At 38.2% G+C, this 18368-nt stretch overlaps 1 protein-coding gene across 7 annotated transcripts in view; it reads right to left on the reverse strand.

The window, feature by feature from the left end:
• Positions 1–18368, reverse strand: part of PXDNL (peroxidasin like) — a 489869-nt gene that overhangs the window by 321402 nt on the left and 150099 nt on the right. For all 7 annotated transcript variants that reach the window (XR_007060701.1, XM_047421364.1, XM_047421365.1 and 4 more), the window contains one exon: positions 13711–13782. Coding sequence is in view for 5 of the 7 variants with exons in the window: in XM_047421364.1 (XP_047277320.1) it covers positions 13711–13782 (72 nt within the window). In the remaining 2 variants the exon portion in view is untranslated. The remainder of the gene's footprint in view (positions 1–13710; positions 13783–18368) is intronic.

Genomic DNA, 18368 nt, shown 5'->3' on the forward strand with positions numbered 1-18368 from the left:
ACAGCATGGTACTGGTACCAAAACAGAGATATAGATCAATGGAACAGCACAGAGCCCTCAGAAATAACGCCACATATCTACAACCATCTGATCTTTGACAAACCTGAGAAAAACAAGCAATGGGGAAAGGATTCCCTATTTAATAAATGGTGCTGGGAAAACTGGCTAGCCATATGTAGAAAGCTGAAAGTGGATCCCTTCCTTACACCTTATACAAAAATTAATTCAAGATGGATTAAAGACTTAAACGTTAGACCTAAACCATAAAAACCCTAGAACAAAACCTAGGCATTACCATTCAGGACACAGGCATGGGCAAGGACTTCATGTCTAAAACACCAAAGGCAATGGCAACAAAAGCCAAAATTGACAAATGGGATCTAATTAAACTCAAGAGCTTCTGCACAGCAAAAGAAACTACCATCAGAGTGAACAGGCAACCTAAAAAATGGGAGAAAATTTTTGCAACCTACTTATCTGACAAAGGGCTAATATTCCAGAATCTACAATGAACTCAAACAAATTTACAAGAAAAAAACAAACAACCCTATCAAAAAGTGGGCGAAGGACATGAACAGACACTTCTCAAAAGAAGACATTTATGCAGCCAAAAAACACATGAAAAAATGCTCACCATCACTGGCCATCAGAGAAATGCAAATCAAAACCACAATGAGATACCATCTCACACCAGTTAGAATGGCAATCATTAAAAAGTCAGGAAACAACAGGTGCTGGAGAGGATGTGGAGAAATAGGAACACTTTTACACTCTTGGTGGGACTGTAAACTAGTGCAACCATTGTGGAAGTCAGTGTGGCGATTCCTCAGGGATCTAGAACTAGAAATACCATTTGACCCAGCCATCCCATTACTGGGTATATACCAAAAGGACTATAAATCATGCTGCTATAAAGACACATGCACACGTATGTTTATTGCAGCTCTATTCACAATAGCAAAGACTTGGAACCAACCCAAATGTCCAACAATGATAGACTGGATTAAGAAAATGTGGCACATATACACCATGGAATACTATACAGCCATAAAAAAGGATGAGTTCATGTCCTTTGTAGGGACATGGATGAAATTGGAAACCATCATTCTCAGTAAACTATCACAAGAACAAAAAACCAAACACCGCATATTCTCACTCATAGGTGGGAATTGAACAATGAGAACACATGGACACAGGAAGGGGAACATCATACTCTGGGGACTGTTGTGGGGTGGAGGGAGGGGGGAGGGATAGCATTAGGAGATATACCTAATGCTAAATGATGAGTTAATGGGTGCAGCACACCAGCATGGGCACATGTATACATATGTAACTAACCCACACATTGTGCACATGTACCCTAAAACTTAAAGTATAATAATATAAAATAAAGTGAAATAAAATAAAAAAATGCAAATCAATAAACATAATCCAGCATATAAACAGAACCAAAGACAAAAACTACATGATTATCTCAATAGATGCAGATAAGGCCTTTGACAAAATTCAACAGCCCTTCAGGCTAAAAACTGTCAACAAATTAGGTATTGATTGGACATATCTCAAAATAATAAGAGTTATTTATGACAAACCCACAGCCAATATCACACTGAATGGGCAAAAACTGGAAGCATTCCCTTTGAAAACTGGCACAAGACAGGGATGCCCTCACTCACCACTCCTATTCAACATAGCGTTGGAAGTTCTGGCCAGGGCAATCAGGCAGGAGAAGGAAATAAAGGGTATTCAATTAGGAAAAGAGGGAGTCACATTTTCCCTGTCTGCAGATGACATGACTGTATATTTAGAAAACCCCATTGTCTCAGCCCAAAATCTCCTTAAGCTGATAAACAACTTCAGCAAAGTCTCAGGATACAAAATCAACGTGCAAAAATCACAAGCATTCTTATACACCAATAACAGGCAAACAGAGAGCCAAATCATGAGTGAAATCCCATTCACAATTGCTTCAAAGAGAATAAAATACCTAGGAATCCAACTTACAAGGGATGTGAAGGACCTCTTCAAGGAGAACTACAAAACACTGCTCAATGAAATAAAAGAGGACACAAACAAATGGAAGAATATTCCATGCTCATGGGTAGGAAGAATCAATATTGTGAAAATGGCCATACTGCCCAAGGTAATTTATAGATACAATGCCATCCCCATCAAGCTACCAATGACTTTCTTCATAGAATTGGAAAAAACTACTTTAAAGTTCATATGGAACCAAAAAAGAGCCCACATTGCCAAGACAATCCTAAGCAAAAAGAACAAAGCTGGAGGCATCACCCTACCTGACTTCAAACTATACCACAAGGCTACAGTAACCAAGACAGCATGGTACTGGTACCAAAACAGAGATATAGACCAATGGAACAGAACAGAGCCCTCAGAAATAATACCACACATCTACAACCATCTGATCTTTGACAAACCTGACAAAAACAAGCAATGGGGAAATGATTCCCTATTTAATAAATGGTGTTGGGAAAACTGGCCTGCCATATGTAGAAAGCTGAAACTGGATCCCTTCCTTACACCTTATACAAAAATTAATTCAAGATGGATTAAAGACTTAAATGTTAGACCTAAAACCATAAAAACCCTAGAACAAAACCTAGGCAATACCATTCAGGACATAGGCATGGGCAAGGACTTCACGTCTAAAACACCAAAAGCAATGGCAACAAAAGCCAAAATTGACAAGTGGGATCTAATTAAACTCAAGAGCTTCTGCACAGCAAAAGAAACTACCGTCAGAGTGAACAGGCAACCTACAGAATGGGAGAAAATTTTTGCAATCTACTCATCTGACAAGGGGCTAATAGCCAGAATCTAGAAAGAACTCAAACAAATTTACAAGAAAAAAACAACCCCATCAAAAAATGGGTGAAGGATATGAACAGACACTTCTCAAAAGAAGACAATTATGCAGCCAACAGACACGTGAAAAAATGCTCATCATCACTGGCCAACGTGGTGAAGCCCCATCTCTACTAAAAATACAAAAAATTAGCCGGGCATGGTGGCAGGCACCTGTAGTTCCAGCTACTGGGGAGGCTGAGGCAGGAGAATGGCGTGAACCTGGGAGGCAGAGCTTACAGTGAGCCGAGATCATGCCACTGAACTCCAGCCTGGGCAACAGCGTGAGACTCCATCTCAAAAAAATAAATAAATAAATAAAGTTAAATAAGTAAAATAAAACAATTATAATATTTTAAAAAGATCACATTTGATCAGAGAACTAAAAGTGAAGGAGACAGTTATGCCAGTCTCTAATAGTCTGGGTGGAGATCAGGGCAAATATATAAACCCTGTAGCAAAGGCACATTTTTACATATATATATATATATACACACACACACACACACACACACACATATGTATATATATACACACACATATGTGTATATATATACACATGTGTGTGTATATATATACACATATGTGTGTGTATATATATATGGGTTGTTTTTGTTTTTGTTTTTGTTTTGAGACGGAGTCTCGATCTGTCGCCCAGGCTGGAGTGCAGTGGCACTATCTCAGCTCATTGCAAGCTCCACCTCCCAGGTTCACGCCATTCTCCTGCCTCAGCCTCCCAAGTAGCTGGGACTACAAGCTCCTGCCACCGCGCCCAGCTATTTTTGTATTTTTAGTAGAGATGGGGTTTCACCGTGTTAGCCAGGATGGTCTCGATCTCCTGACCTCATGATCCACCCGCCTCGGCCTCCCAAAGTGCTGGGATTACAGGTGTGAGTCACCGCGCCGGGATGATATTTATATTTTTAAAAAAATAAAAGCCTATAGTAGCAGCAGCAGCGTGAAGGGGGCTGAGTCTAGGAGCTCACGTCAGAAAAGGGCCCCAGGCTGATTGTAGACGGCCACATAGGTTATGGCGGGGACACGGATCCATAGGTGGAAGAGAAGACTTTTGAATCAGTCAGGGTTCTCCAGAGAAACAGAACCAATAGGAAATACATGGAGACATAAAAGAGAAGATTTACACAGGAATTGCCTCACATGGTTGTGGAAGCCGAGAAGTCCCATGATCTGCCCTCTGCAAGCTGAAGACCCAGGAAAGCCCGTGGTACAGTCTGAAGGCCTGAGAGCTGGCCGGCTGTTGGTGCAGATTCCAGTTTTGAAGTCTGAGAGCCAGGAGAGCCATGGGCAAAAGATGGATGTCCCAGCTCAGCATTCAGGCAGAGTGCAAATTCCTCCTCCCTCTGACTTTTTGTTCTATGCAGGCCCTCAGTGGATAGGATAGCACCCACCCACACTAGGGACAGCCATCTGCTGTCCTCAGGCCACCAATTCATGCTTATCTCTTCCAGAAACACCCTCTCAGACACACTCAGAAATCATGTCTAATCACATATCTGGGCATCCTGCGCCCTGATTAATTTAAAATTAACCATCATACCATCAACGGATGGTGTTGAGCAGATGATTGAGATCATATAACATCTATTTAGAGGATCACACGGCTGCTTGAGGAGCTGGTAAAAAGAGACAGGGAGACCATTTAATTAGCTTTGGCTGTAGGTGAAAGGCAGTGAAGCCAGAGTGACTGCTGATAGCAGTGAGGTGGTGAACAGATCAGATCTGTAGTACATTTAAAGATAGAATGAAGTGCATTTGCTGATAGATGTAGGGTTTGAGGTAAAGAGAGATTAGAATGACTTTAATATTACAGGCCACCTGATAGAATAAAAGTAACACAGCCTGAAATGGAGAAATTTACAGGAGGAGCAAATTTGGTAAAATATATGAATCAAAAGTTTGATTTTATAAATACTGAGCTCGGGATGCTGACAGGCCTCAGATGTTGTGCAGACAGTTACGTGAAATCGCAGTTCAAAGTCATAGTGAAAACATAAATGTGGAGGGCCCAGTGTTGAAAACCATGGTGCTGGACATGCTCACCTTGAAGGTGAGTGTAAGGAAAGTGCTGCGTGCTGAGCTGTGAGGCATTGCAGCATAAAGACTGAGAAGAGGAAAGACAGAGGGAAAGGAAAACAAGAGCCAAGCAATGAGTTAGGAGGATACCAAGGAAAGGACTGTGTTATGGGATGAACTGTGTTCCCCGAAATGGGTATGTTGATGCCCTAACCCCTCACGTGACTAAATTTGCAGGTAGGGCCCCTCAAGAAGGAATTAATGTTAAGTGAAGTCTTAAGGACACTGCCCTGATCCAGTGACACTGGTGTCCTTATAAGGAGAGGAAGAGACAGCAGGATATCTGTGTGCAGAGAAAAGGCCAGTGAGGATGCAGGGAGAGATGACATTTACACACCAAGGAGAGAAGCCTCGGGAGAAACCAGACCTGCTGGCACCATGATCTTGGACTTCCATACTCCAGGACTGTGAGAAAATACACTTCTGTTTTTAAAGCCACCTGGTCTGTGGCATTTTGTTGTGATAGCCGTAGCCAGCTAATACAAGTGATAACACAAAGTGCAATTAAGGAAAATATTTCAAAAAGGAGGAGTTGACCCCCTGTGTCAGATATTGCTGATTGGGCAAGCAAAACAAGCACTGAAGAATACCCACGAGATGGGGCACTTCCATGGCAGCCAACGGTTACCTTTCAGTGGCGTGGTAGTGCTCCAGACTGACCTGGGTAGGTTTAAGAGAGGAAGGGAGGAAAGCACACAGATAGAATGAGAAATGACAACACTTCTAGGAGCCTTGCTCCTAAGGGGAGCAGGAAAATAGGGAGATAGCAAGAGAGAGGGAAAGAGGTGTCAGATCAAAGGAAGACATGTTACAGAAATTATTAAATGTCAGTATGTTTGTGTGAAAAGTACAAAAGAAAATGACAAACCAATGATTAGGAGAGATAGGGGACAACCGCAAGAATCTGCCACTGCCTGGGAGAGAAAGGAAATGATCCAGGGCACAGGTGGTTGTAGAAAGGGGCCAGGACGGTTTATTCAGTGCAGCAGGAGTGGAGAGAGAGCCGATGGCCTGGGAGTGCAAATGTCTATTACTACTGGTACTTCAGCACATAGATATACTGTAAAAAGGATACAACGTACTTTTAAGAGAAATGTATGCTCTTGGGTGTTTTCACCATTTTGGAGCTTTCTTTTTGGAAGCTAGGATGTATCATCCCTTATACAGGGTCTGTGAATTCTGAGTAACATAAATTGAGGCAAAGGCAAATGATAAGAAGTCTCTAAGGAGACTTCATGACCCAATTAGTAAAGCCCACGCCTTAGAGCCAAGAAATATCTTGGATGTGCCAATCAGAGAACGGCAACATAGAGTTTTTATAAGCCAAATTTTCCTGGCATCCACCCCAGAAATTTCTCTCTATTTCTGGCCAGTATCAAAATACCGACACATGACAAGAAGTTGGGCCAAGGGGGAAATGAAGGTGAAGAGAACTTCTCAGAGAAGGTGAGTGATGGTAATTGTGCTGCTGAAGCTTCACCTATGTGTTCTGGGAGTTCCCCAAAACGAGGCAGAGAGAAACTAAACAATTCCACTGAGCACTGTGCAAGCCTTTTGAAAAATACAGCAGGTTCTGTATTTGCATTATGTAGAAAAATATGAGTCATCATTTTACAATGCAGAAGTTAAAATTTCCCCAAATCACAAAGAGATGGTAGTATATGAGGGGCAGTATTATGGAGTGGCTAGGAGCATGAACTTTGTAGCCAGAGCGCCTGTGTCAAGGAAAGATCTACCACTGCATTTTTCTGCAAGACTGACAAAGTTAACTGACTTCTCTGTGCATCAGTGTCCTCAGCTATAATATAAGGATCATGATAGTGCTTCATGGGCTTTATTAAATCACAGGTAAATGAAAAACACTTACAATAGTGTCTCCATAATATTGACTTTATTTTTAATATTTATTATTAGAATTTATAATTAGACACAGAGAAGGGACTCAACAATATTAGCTTCTTTCTTTTTACTTTTTGCCTATTTTTTAATATCAAGAAAAGCACTGTAAAATATTGAATATTTGATTCTTAGATGGTATGACATCTTGGGCTTCATATAACGTTTGCTTTTATGGTGTTAGTTTCCAAAGTCACATAAAGGATAGCCTTTTTCATGCATCATTCTTCTTTTTGCAACTCAAAAGTAGGGTGTCTAAATATATGTCACTCTTACAGTACAACTACTATAATTACTCTCATTACGACTATTACTACCACCGCCAATCATAACTAATGATAATAAACTTTTACCTTTCTGTAGTAGGCTGAATAATGGCCACCCAAAAATATCAGGTCGTAATTCCTGGAATCTGTAAATTTTATCTGATAAGGAAAAGGGATCTTCGGGGATGTGATTAAATTAAGGATCTTGAAATGGGATTATTCAGAGTGGGCCCTTAATCCAATCACAACTATCCCTGTAAAAGAGAGACTCTACAGACACTGAATAGAAAGCAATTCTTAGTGAGAGATAGAGGCAGAGATTGGAGTGATGTGGACTCAAGGCAAGAAACACCAAAGGATGCCAGCAGGGCCTGGATGCTAAAAGAGGCAAGGAGAAGTTTCTCTCCCAGAGCCTCTGGAGGGAAGGCAGTCCTGCCCACACCTTCGTTTCAGGCTTCTGGTCTCTAGAATTGTGAGAGAATCCATTTCTTTCCATTTAAGACACCAAGGCTTTGGTGATTTTTTTTAAAGCAGCCCTAGAAAATTAATATAACTTCTTTGCATTCCTTACACTATATTTTACATGTATTATTTTGTTTAATCATTACATTAATTATATGCGCTATGATTATCCTCTTTTATAGATATGGAAACTAACATCATACAGCTAATGAAAGTCAGAACTTGAGCTCTCACCCAGGTAGAAGATTCTAAAAGCTATCATTATGTTTATACTTATGCTGTTATAATGATTTCATGTGTTTTTACTAAAATGTTTTACTATGCTTAAAAACTTTGTCAAAAATCACATTTAAACAACATAATAAAAAATTACAAATGGGTAGAAATTCCAAATTTGATTTAGTGCTCATACATTTCCTATTTATATACTTTCCTTTTTCTTCTACTAACAGGACACACAAGTGAAGAACAATGAATAAGAGGATGAAACAATTAATATGGGTGCAAACATTTCATCATTAATTTTTAAGGGATTTTTAAAGAAAAGCTAGTAAAATTTCCGTGTCAAACAACATGCTTTAAGAAAAGAGAAACCTCTTTGGCTGGTAACTGTGTCTTCAGCCCTTCAGACAAGACATGCTCGAGGAAAAAAACGGCAGTAGTTGCAGCACCGACATAGACCCCAGCCTTGGTTTAATTGTCATTTTCTCATGAATCTGAAAACAGCCTTTTCACCTTGAAAGAGGAAAGTCGGCAAATAACACACGTGTTATGAGACTTGAAACTTTCCCATTAAACGTACTGTGTTTTTTAACCTGTAATTATAACAATTTTCCTTTTAAATCTTGTCTAGAGCTGAATCTTTTATTCTTTTGGAAATTGGGTAAATGTTTAATACTAGAAGACATAATCTCTTAGCTTTGTAGGTGAAGAAACTGTGATCCAAGGAGTAAAACAATTTACTCAAGGTCACATATTTAGTCATTGTAAAGCACCTACCACAACACTTCACACATAACATGTTTACAATAAAGAGAAAATCCCCTTATAATTTTTAATTTTATATTTCTAGTTGGGGGGGAGTCTGTAATATATTTAGTATTGCTAATTGTGCATACATTAATGCTATTTCTTTCTTTTTAATTATGTTTTTATTTTACTTTTTATTTTTGATTAAACATTTTATTGACTTTAGAAAAATTCTCATTATTGATCTGTTTTGCAGATGAAACATTCTTTGGACAGTGAAAATCCAGGCCAGGCATGGTGGCTCATGCCTGTAATCTCAGCACTTTGGGAGGCCGAGGTGGGTGGATCACCTGAGGTCAGGAGTTTGAGACCAGCCTGGCCAACATGGTAAAACCTCATCTCTACTAAAAATACAAAAAATTGGCTAGGTGTGCTGGTGCATGCCTGTAATCCCAGCTAGTTGGGAGGCTGAGGCAGGAGAATCACTTAAACCCCTGAGGCAGAGGTTGTAGTGAGCTGAGATCTGCTACCGTACTCCAGCCTCAACAACAGAGAGAGACTTTGTCTCAAAAAAAAAAAAAAAAAAAATTCCAGTTAGTCACCTTTGAATTGATTCCATAGGAGTACTGTATCTTAAATGCTCCTTTATTATATACAGCAAAATAGTATTATATACAGACAAAGTCAAGAGATTAAGAGTAATATTCAAAATTTAACAATGTACAGGCATAGATTAAAAAAAAATAAGTCTTCCAGTAGATTTTAAAGTCAACTATTTACTAATTGGAAGTTTCCTTTGATCTGCCCTGACTCTTCTCACTCACCCTATAGCCACCCAAAACGTTTCTGCCATGATCGAGTATAAAAGTTTGAAAAATAGACAAGACCACTTAACTTGGTTTTATTCTCCTGATGTTGTGATTTTGTTTTGTAGGATAATGAGGAAGAGAAATTTATTAGGAAGAGATCAGCCAGAGTCTTTTTTACATTGCCTTACCATGACCATTTTCCAATAAGCTAGCACTGTATTCAGTGCTCAGGCCCTGTTGCTTGTGGAAATTGCCCTAGGAGAACTACCTCTAGGATCAGATCAGGTCAATAGGCAGAAGACTTGGTCTCATGTTGGTGAAGTTCAGTGCAATTTATGCTGCAGTGCCAAGTTTGTGGAGATAAATTAGTCTATTAGCCACTAGTGATAAGGTTGATTGTTGAACAGCAAAAGTGAGAATGATGCATTTAGTTTTGAATTTGGTAAGAGCAAAGACAAAATGACCTAACTCTTATCAGTGGTTTTGCCACAAATCGATCACTAGTTCATCATATGCCACTATCTTCTCAATACAAGCTTTACAAAAAAAGCTACAGCTAATATCACGTGCTGTCCCCTGAGACTGTATACAGATTGGAAAGGAAAACTGTTTATTTCCAAAGGACATGATTGTGTAATTACAAAAATCCAAAGGATATAAGCAAATGAGTAGAATTAGTGAGGATTAATTTAGTAAGGTCACTGGATACAATATCAATATACAAAAATCAATTGCATTTTATCTACTAGCATGAAATAAATAGAACATATAATTTAATGCCATTTAACAATAATATTAATACATACATTAACTAATTATATGTGATATTTAGTTAAACACTCTACAAACTGCACCTGTATCTATATAGCTTACCTAGGAATAAAGCGTAGTATATAATTTGGAAGCGATTCGGCCAAATTAGAATAAACACACATAGATGAGTGTGGGGAGACAGAGAAACGTGAATGTGGCAAAATGTTAACTAGTGAATTTTACGTAAAATGTACAAAGCAATTATCATGCCCTTCTTTTGAGATTTGGGTAGCTTTGAAATTTTCAAAATAAAACGTCAGAGGAAATGTTAGTAAACTTAAGGTTTAAGGAGTTAAATAACTTGCCACACTTCACAAAACAATTGGAAGGACCAGAAATACCCCCCAACCCCTCCCTTTTGACGTTCTTCTCAAGGTTCTTTTCATCTTGCTTTTCAATTAGGCCTTCCTTCCAGAAGGCAGATGAGTGAGGAGTATCAGCCCTAGAATCAGATCTTCGTATTTCTGTTGTTGCTATTTAAATAGTGGCATGCATTTATTTTATTTTTGTGGTATAGTCTAACCTTTTGTCCTTGGCATTTATTAGCATTGCTCTTCCTCCAGGGCTCAATCATCTTTTTTATAAGCATGACTGTGTTGTCCAGAATTGAATTTGAGCCTGTTTCCCAAATGTATTACTCTTATCAGTGTCATCCAGAAACTGGAAGGCAGAGGCACCCTGGCAAGTCACAGAGCTCTGCCAGGCACCACTTGGCTGTGCTGCAGCGGGTGAAATTCAGGGTCTGATAACAGATCCTTGATCTTACCCTCTAGCTCTTAGGCTCCAGCAATACATAACATTTCCGGATTTTTTATTAAGTAAACCTCTTAGCAAGCTCTGTTTAATACAAAAATGCCAACTGTTTTTGAGAAAACCCTCTCTTTTACAATATAGAAGCAATGTGGTTGGCATTTTTTTAAATTGTAAGAAAACATTGGAGTTTCTGTGCAATTTACTATAAAGGCAACCCAAGGAAATAGAATCACCAGATGCTTGATTTCATTTTGTGATGCTGTGTTCATATAAGAGCCATATGGTCAAAATTTTTAATATTCTTCATGAAAAATTTAACTTTATTTTTTAAAAAATGTGTCCTTATTTCTTTTGCTTTTACAATAAATTAGTAAAGACCTTTGGATCTTCACTTAACTGGACTAACAAATTCCTCTGAAGTCTCAGGAGTGGTAAGTGTCTCATTGCTTAACTCATTTTCTAGACAGAAATCTCTCTCTCTCTCTCTCTCTCTCTCTTACTGTCTGTCTCTCTGTCTCTCTCTCTCTCTCTCACACACACACACACACACACAAACACACACACACACACACACCAACCACATGTACACACAACTTACTGTTTAAATGATCTACCATCTGTATTCCAGGGAAGTACTTTTCCTGAATGCTATCATGAGAAACCATATAGTCCAGCAGTTAACAGATCAAACTCTGTGGAACCCTGACTCTGCTCTTTTCTATCTGCCTCAATTTGGGTAAATTACATTACAGCCATGAACCTCAATTTCCTCATCTGTAAAATGAACGTAGTAACACCTACCACAAAGCATGAAAGAAAGGAATATAGATAATGTATATAAAGCAACTAGTATAAAATGAGGCTTGCAATTAACAACATAATTACTATTTTATTACGGTTTTCTAATAAAAAATATTTAGAAACAAATTAATATTATCCATGGTTTCTGCCAAGTGAAGAAGTGGATTATTCATCAATAATTAGTGTTCATCAATAATTGTGTACTGTAACTCCAAAAAGTGGCCAAACCCCAATAGATTTTATCAGTTTGTCACACTCCTTGAATTTTTTAAATGGCAACTATCTCTAATGAAAATATTTTATAACATTTTATCATATTCACAATTTAATCAATGGATAAAATATTTGATTATCTATCATATACATGTTTCAGTAGACAGTGGTGAAAGGCTTCACCCAGAAATACTCATTAGAAGATACTCAATAGCCTGGGCGTGGTGGTTCATGCCTGTAATCCCAACACTTTTTGGGAGGCCGAGGCGGATGGATCACAAGGTCAGGAGATTGAGACCATCCTGGCCAACATGGCAAAACCCTGTCTCTACTAAAAATACAAAAATTAGCCGGGCATGGTGGCAGACACCTGTAATCCCAGCAACTCAGGAGGCTGAGGCAGGAGAATTGCTTGAACCCGGGAGGCACAGGTTGCAGTGAGCCGAGATTGTGCCACTGCATTCCAGCCTGGGCGACAGAGCAAGGCTCTGTCTCAAAGAAAAAAATAATAATAATCAAATGCAGATCTTTGGGCCCATCCTGAGAAGTCCTAAATTAGGATCCCTGGGGAAGAGGGCTAGGAATTTGCATGTCCACAAGCACTCCAGGAAATGTTTTCGTACATTGCACTTTGATAATCATTGCTTTATTGTAAAACAAAGAATAAACCCTGCAGTCCTTACTTTCTTATGTTCTTACATCATCCCAAACAGAGATACTGTGATAAAAATATGTGTGTTCCGGCATCAGTTACTGGAAAGAAACCAGATGGGAGAAGCACAAGTGTAAAGTTATGATCTCAACTCTAAAGTTAGAAGGGCTAGCTTGGCCTGAATATGGTGAGTTCAGCCAAGTTGATAAAATTGCTAACTCTATCATGAGAATATTATGACAAGAAGACAAACACGCCCACATGGGTCTAGCCTCACTGAAGATTCTTAACTTTCAGTGTGTTCACTCAGTGGATTAATCTAAATGCAGCATAGGAAGATTTTATATATTGAACCTCCAGTCATCATCTCTCATAGGTCTCTTCTCCTTATAGCACTTACTATACATAGGAATTTTTTCTATTACAGACATATTACAGTTGGGTGTTGGCTACCTGACTGCCCCACAATGTCAGACCATCAGTTGTATCATAGCAGGGGCATGTGCATTCGGATCCAAATACAAAACCAGCCAACTGGTAGCCCACAATAGATAATAGATACTGTTAAGTGAATAAAATAAATGCCTTTAAACTTGGAAACATTTATCAGTGCTTAGCCATAAAGTTGTCATTTTTTTCTCTACATGATATGTTTTCATTTAAGACTATCATAAAACAGCATCTCTACATGATTCTAAAGCTATTCTTTGTTTTAGAGTATCACAAATAAGAAGGCCTAGTAGCATACTGAGTAGAGCATGGGCTTTGCAGTTAGAAAGTTGTGAATTTTAATTTCATTTCTATTGCTTTCTTGCCATGGGACTCATAGACAAGTTACTTAACCCCTCCTTCTCCCTATTTCTTCTTCTCATGAAGCTTTTCTAAACCAATAGAATACAAATAAATTGGATAAATAAGAATCTCTTCCATGTTCAAAAGGTTATAAAAACATAGGCAGTGTAAAGAAGCAGCAGAATTTTCCCAGTTATAAGACATCTACAAGGTGTCATTCTTCTACTAGCTGTTCTTGACACTCAGAATGACTTTCACGGTAAATTGCCATCCAACCAGCATATAATTTTAGGAACCTTACAGATAAGCAATAAGTACTCACAGTGTGTTCAAATTCTTGAGTTTCTTGAAGGCGCTCCCTGGAATTTCTCTTATTCTGTTAAACCTCAAGTCTCTGGGAACATAAAAAGGTGAAGAACGATTATAATATGTTGACTGCATTCTGCCATTATTTCCAGAAGCTTGAAGGCTAAATCTCCTTTTATGATCAAACATACAGTACTAAAGGACTAAATATAATTAAGACAGAACTAGTGCACATCATACACTAATCATTAGGGAGGTGCACTGTTTATAGCAAATTTTGCATCTCTGGGGCCATATGCTTGTCACAGGATGCCAGACAAATGTGGCTATTTATAGAGCTCTGCAAAGTGTTAAAGACAGTTACACCATTTATTTTAGGTTTTATTTGTATGCCAGTAAAACAAATTCTATACATGGCAATATGTCAGTTGAGTACATTTAGTTTGGAAAATAATTGATATATTAGATGTCACATATCAACTCAACACCACTGTTTGAATTTAGCAAAAATTATTAATTACTTAATTTTTCTTCACAGTACAGGAATACAATGGCCTTCTACAAAGTATTAAATCAACAGAACAATTAGTTTGAGAGAGACGTTACTCCACAACCAACATTCTCTTTCATGAGTCCACATCTTTTTTATTCAGCATGTAAATAATTGCGTGTCAGCTATGTGCCACCTATCATGTTAAGTAATAGGGATGCAAAGATAAGCAAGATAGGGTCCCTGCTACTGAGCACAGATAGTTCAGTGGGGGGATGTCAAGCAAGTTATTACAGGACTAGGGTGCATAGTGTTTGTGATACAACAGAGGATCAAACAAATGCCATGCACACTTGGAAGACTTAGGGACTGCTCTGCCTAGAGCCCCTCTTTCAGTTGGAGAACGAGGCGCCCCACTCCATGTCATTATGGTAAAGACGTCAAGCAGGGGCCTCTTCCTGCCCGGAACAGGGTGGTTAACTGGGGGCAGCATCTCCACGGGCATACTGTTTCTTCCATGGGGAACATATGACCCAAGCCAGGCCAGCTGGAGTTGTTTTTAAGCATTGACATGGCTGCTGAATAAAAGTCATGTTCTCTCTCTGGGGTTCAGAGCTCTAAGGAAAATGAACATCTAGGGTCACTACCTCATCTTGTCCACTCAAGAAAGCGCCAGCCTAGGAATAAAGGCCCAGCAGAAACACATAGGGCCAAAATAGCAAATGAAAGAAACAAAGCCCTGGACCCAGGATTGCCTGAGACCAAATTTACTCCTTGACTTTCCAGATCCCTGACACCAGATGCTGTCATTTTGATAAACTAATTTGAGCTGAATTTCTCTCTCTAACGCAAGGAGTATAGAAGAAAGATGAAGTTATTTGCTTGGAAATGTTAGGCCCAAGGAGAAGTATATCAGGGAAATTTTATAGGGCGCTAGAATGGCAGTAATAGAATAAAATGAAAACAAAAACTATTTACTTCCCCTCAATTAATTTCTCAAAACAAAACTCTTCACCACCATAAAAAGTTGTTCTATCTTAGAATACTTGACTCACAAAACTTTATAAGAGTACCTTAAAATCTATCATCTATCACTTCATCTTTCTCTAGACTTTGCCAAAATGAGCAAAATTTTATAGGAGCTATTATTTTCAATTAAAATTATTAAATAACTCAGTGACTATACCTCCTTGCTAAATGGAATGCACTGCTTATACACCATCCATTGCTGTTTGGTATGTCTAGACTATATCAGTAAAAGAAACTGTAAGCTATATGAGATCCTCCCTATAAACATATAAGACATTAAGTTATGTAGACCCGAATACCCTGGAAACCACTGGTTTCTCTTAAAAACAGAAGCTAAAAATTAACAGTTATAGAAAGGGCTCTCCTCTTGCATTAAACAATAATCCTAATAATTCTCCCAAAATGAGATTCCAATACAACAAGGAAGCAAATATAAAAAGATAAACCATTTTCCTTATTTTCGGCTTTGAAATTTCTGAAAAATTCAGAAAAGTACAAATGAGAAAATAATAATCCTTACTGTCTACATCCAGAATTAACTACTATTAATATTTATACCTTGATATAGTTGCTTCTACTCATAATTTCACGTGTGTATGTTTACTACACAAATTATATATAAAAACACATTGTAGATAAAATGAACATCTTTTAAGCACCATCTTAATTTTAGCTTTGCCTCCCACTCCAGATGTAACCACTCATGTATTTGATGCTCCTCTTCAGACATAACATTTCTATATATGTGGATAAATATAAGATGAAATGTAAACACATGCAGATACTCCTTGACTTATGACGGGGTTATGTCCTTATAAATCCACTGTAAGTTGAAAACATTGTAAGTCAAAAATGCATTTAATACAACTGAACTACCAACATCATAGCTTAGCCTAGCCTACCTTAAACACGCTCAGAACACTTGCATTAGCCTGCAGTGGGGCAAAATTATCTAACACACTCCTTATTTTATAATAAATGTTGACTATCTCATGCAATTTACTCACTAATGTACATTACATCAAAATTGTAACCATTTCACAACACGGTAAAGTCAAAAATCATAAGTTGCACCATTGTAAGTCAACAACTGTCTATATATGAAAATAAACCTAATATATAGGCAAATTTAAAATATTTTGTGCTTTTAAATTTACAAAAAAGCTATCAAATGTTATATGGTTGTTAAAACTTCCCTTTTCCCTTCCACTACATATTTTCTATGTTGTTCCTTGTCTACACATAAAGGACTAGGTATTTTTGTCTAACTTCTCCACAGTACTCCACAGTGCAGACAGACCACACCGTTCCTTTATAGATTCCTTTACTGACAGACAGTTTGGTCGTTTCCAAATTTTTGCAACATTATTTACTAACAATATTGCAATAAATATGCATGCATGTCTCCTTGTACACTTGGAAAAATGTTTGCCTATGCTAAATATTTGGAATTGGGATTGCTAGATTATAGGGTAGGTACATTTTCAGTTGTACAAAATGATGCCATTGCAAATTTATTTTCAGCTACATACAATATAATGGTAATTTAACTGAAAATAATGTGAAAAGATGCTTGAACTCATCACCAAATTATAGATTTAAACTTATCACTGGATTGATTTGAAAGCCAAGGTGCTATATGTATCTATTATCAGAATTCCCTTCTTGTTTTTCTCCACAAGTAAGCAGACATAAGCTCTTCTGCCATAAAGACAGTCTTGCTTGTAAGCTGGTGCCATAGAAAGGTCTCCAGGGTACCCAGGCTCAGTGGACTGTAAGACTCTGCCCACTGACTTTGGCCACACCCTATTCTCACCAGTGAGGCATGCTCAGGGACTCACTCTCTTCCTGAGAAGCAGAGTGTGGGCTGGGCTGGGTGCAGTAGCTCATGCCTGTAATCCCAGCACTTTGGGAGGCTGAGGCAGGAGGACCCTTGAGCACAGGAGTTCGAGACCAGCCTGGGCAACATGACAAGACCCATCTCTACAAAAAATACAAAAATTAGCCAGGCATGGTGGTACACACCTGTGGTTGTAGCTACTCAGGAGGTCGAGGTGGGAAGATCGCTTGGGCCCAGGAGGTAAAAGCTATAATGAGCCGTGATCACACCACTGCACTCCAACCTGGGCCACAGAGTAAGACCCTGTCTCAAGAAAAAAAAAAAAAAAAAGAAAAGAAAAGGAAAAAAAAAGAAAAAAAAGTATGATTGGACACCCAAAGATTTTCTCGAGATCGACTTAAACTCCAATAAGTCACATTCAAATATACCAAAATGAATATGTTAGCACTCGATCCTCTTTGGCTAGTACATTCTGGCACATAAATTTTTATAGGTAAGTACATTATAAGCTGAAATTCTAGGAAAACATACCCCTTCCTAATTTGAATCCCAGGTCTTTAGGATTGCATACAGGGCCTTGCACAGTGTATTACCTATCGTAGGGTAAGTATATTTCTGAAAATTAGATTATTTAAATTCAAATGGCCACCAAATTTGGATAATGATACTGTGTAAGTATGTACATTTACCCAGAAATACAATTCATTTCCCATGTTATATGGTTGTTAAAACTTCCCTTTTCCCTTCCACTACATATTTTCTATGTTGTTCCTTGTCTACACATAAAGGACTAGGTATTTTTGTCTAACTTCTCCACAGTACTCCACAGTGCAGACAGACCACACCGTTCCTTTATAGATTCCTTTACTGACAGACATTTTGGTTGTTTCCAAATTTTTGCAACATTATTTACTAACAATATTGCAATAAATATGCATGCATGTCTCCTTGTACACTTGAAAAAATGTTTGCCTATGCTAAATATTTCACTCAAGATCGGTCACTAGCAATTTCATTTATATAAAATTTGTCATTCATATAAAACTTCCCTTAGCCTAAAATGTAGCATTGTATTTTTACTCCTTACACAGAGTGGAAATTAAGTTATTATATCTCCTTCATCCCATTGTAATATAAATAATATTGATGAAATAATATTTATGATAATAACAACCCTTGTATAACACAATTTTCATCCCATTCATTGTTCTTTGGAACTCAGTTCAGAAGCAATCCTAGTCATTGTACCAAGATAAAAGTTGGGCACATGGAATTTGCTGGGAGGGTTAGACAAGTGTGTCTGTCTGTCTCCTCT

Source organism: Homo sapiens, chromosome 8 (assembly GCF_000001405.40).
Source record: "Homo sapiens chromosome 8, GRCh38.p14 Primary Assembly".
Classification (NCBI taxonomy): Eukaryota; Metazoa; Chordata; class Mammalia; order Primates; family Hominidae; genus Homo; species Homo sapiens.